A 1710-nucleotide genomic window follows, 5' to 3' on the forward strand; every position below is an offset into this window, starting at 1 on the left:
CCTAGCAGCTGCATGCTTCTTTAAGACTGTGCATTTCACATTTGAGCTTTTCAATTTCTGGGAAGATAAGCATTCTCAAAGAAGATATAATTACATGGCCTTCTTAGAATTTCCGATTGATAGTATTTCATAAGCCTATAATAAATTAAGAATTTCAGAACTTTGTTATATTTAAAATCAGCAATAAAATAGTTAAGATGTACAACAGGAAAAATGTAAAAGACTTGCATATGCCATGCTTTTCTGAAAAACAAAAAAAGTGTTCTGCTAAAAGTATCTTTCAAAAAGGATCTTTAGTGTTCTAATCAGAGAATCTAAGTGGGCCAATGTTTGCTGTTGTGTTATATTCATGAGCAATTGCTAGGTGATGAAGCTTTGTATTTGAATAGCATTTGACAATCTACAAATGCCAAGTATTATTATGTGTTAATGAGTCTCGACTTTGCATTTCCAAGTCTGCGCCTCTGTCCTGAACTCTAAACTTACATATCCAACTGCCTACTCAACACTTCACGTAGAAATCTTATGGTTTGAACTTATCCTGTTCAAAACTGAGCTCTCAATATTTTTTCTTCTTCCTTCATTTCCCCAAGCTGCTCCTTCCACAGCCTTCCCCATCTCAGTTTATGGCAACTTCTGAGTTGCGGTAAGAGCTGCCAGGTGCTGCAGCTGCCCAAACCACAGCTGCAGACCCAGGCCTCCTGCTCTAAGGAGCAGGAAGGAGCCCCACCCTCCTGGGCGGGGCTACAGCCTCCCAAACTGCAGCTGTGGATCAGAGTCACCCTATGCTCTTGGGGGAGGGCGGGAAGCAGGCAGTATCTGCCTTCCCAGTGCAGCTAAAGCTGCCCTCCTAGGCGCAGGACCCAGGAGTATCTGCAGCCTGCACCCTCAGGGGCCCCAGGAAAGATTTTCCCCTCCCCCCAGCCCTACCCTCAACCTCCCTCCCACTCCGCACCCCCACTCTCAACCTCCCTCCCACCCCCATCCCCACCCTCAACCTCCCTCCCATTCCCTCACACTTAACCTCCCTCCCACACCCCCACCCTCAATCTCCCTCCCACACGCCCACCCCTGCTACCCAGGAAAGACTCCCCCACCCATTCCCCCACCCCACTGTAGAGCAGTGGGACACCATGGAAGTATCTCCAAATCCGGAATCATAAGTCTTGCACTTGATTATTGTCTTTGAAATTGACAATGTGTGGCCGGGTGTGGTGGCTCACACCTGTACTCCCAGCACTGTGAGAGGCTGAGGTGAGCAGATCACATGAGGTCAGGAGTTCAAGACCAGCCTGGCCAACATGGCGAAACCCTGTCTCTACTAAAAATACAAAAATTGGCCCAGCACAGTGGCTCACGCCTGTAATCTCAGCACTTTGGGAGGCTGAGGCGGGTGGATCACGAGGTCAGGAGTTCAAGACCAATCTGGCCAAGATGGTGAAACCCCGTCTCTACTAAAAATACAAAAGTTAGCCAGGCGCCTGTAATCCTAGCTACTAGGGAGGCTGAGGCAGAGAATTGCTTGAACCCGGGAGGTGGAGGTTGCAGTGAGCTGAGATTGCATTACAGCACTCCAGCCTGGGCGACAGAGCGAGACTCAGTCTCAAAAAAAAAAAAAAAAAATTAGCTGGGCATGGTGGTGGGCGCCTGTAATCCCAGCTACTTGGGAGGCTGAGGCAGGAGGATTTCTTGAACCTGGGAGGCAGAGGT

This window comes from Homo sapiens, chromosome 6 (genome assembly GCF_000001405.40).
Source record: "Homo sapiens chromosome 6, GRCh38.p14 Primary Assembly".
In the NCBI taxonomy this organism is placed as follows: domain Eukaryota; kingdom Metazoa; phylum Chordata; class Mammalia; order Primates; family Hominidae; genus Homo; species Homo sapiens.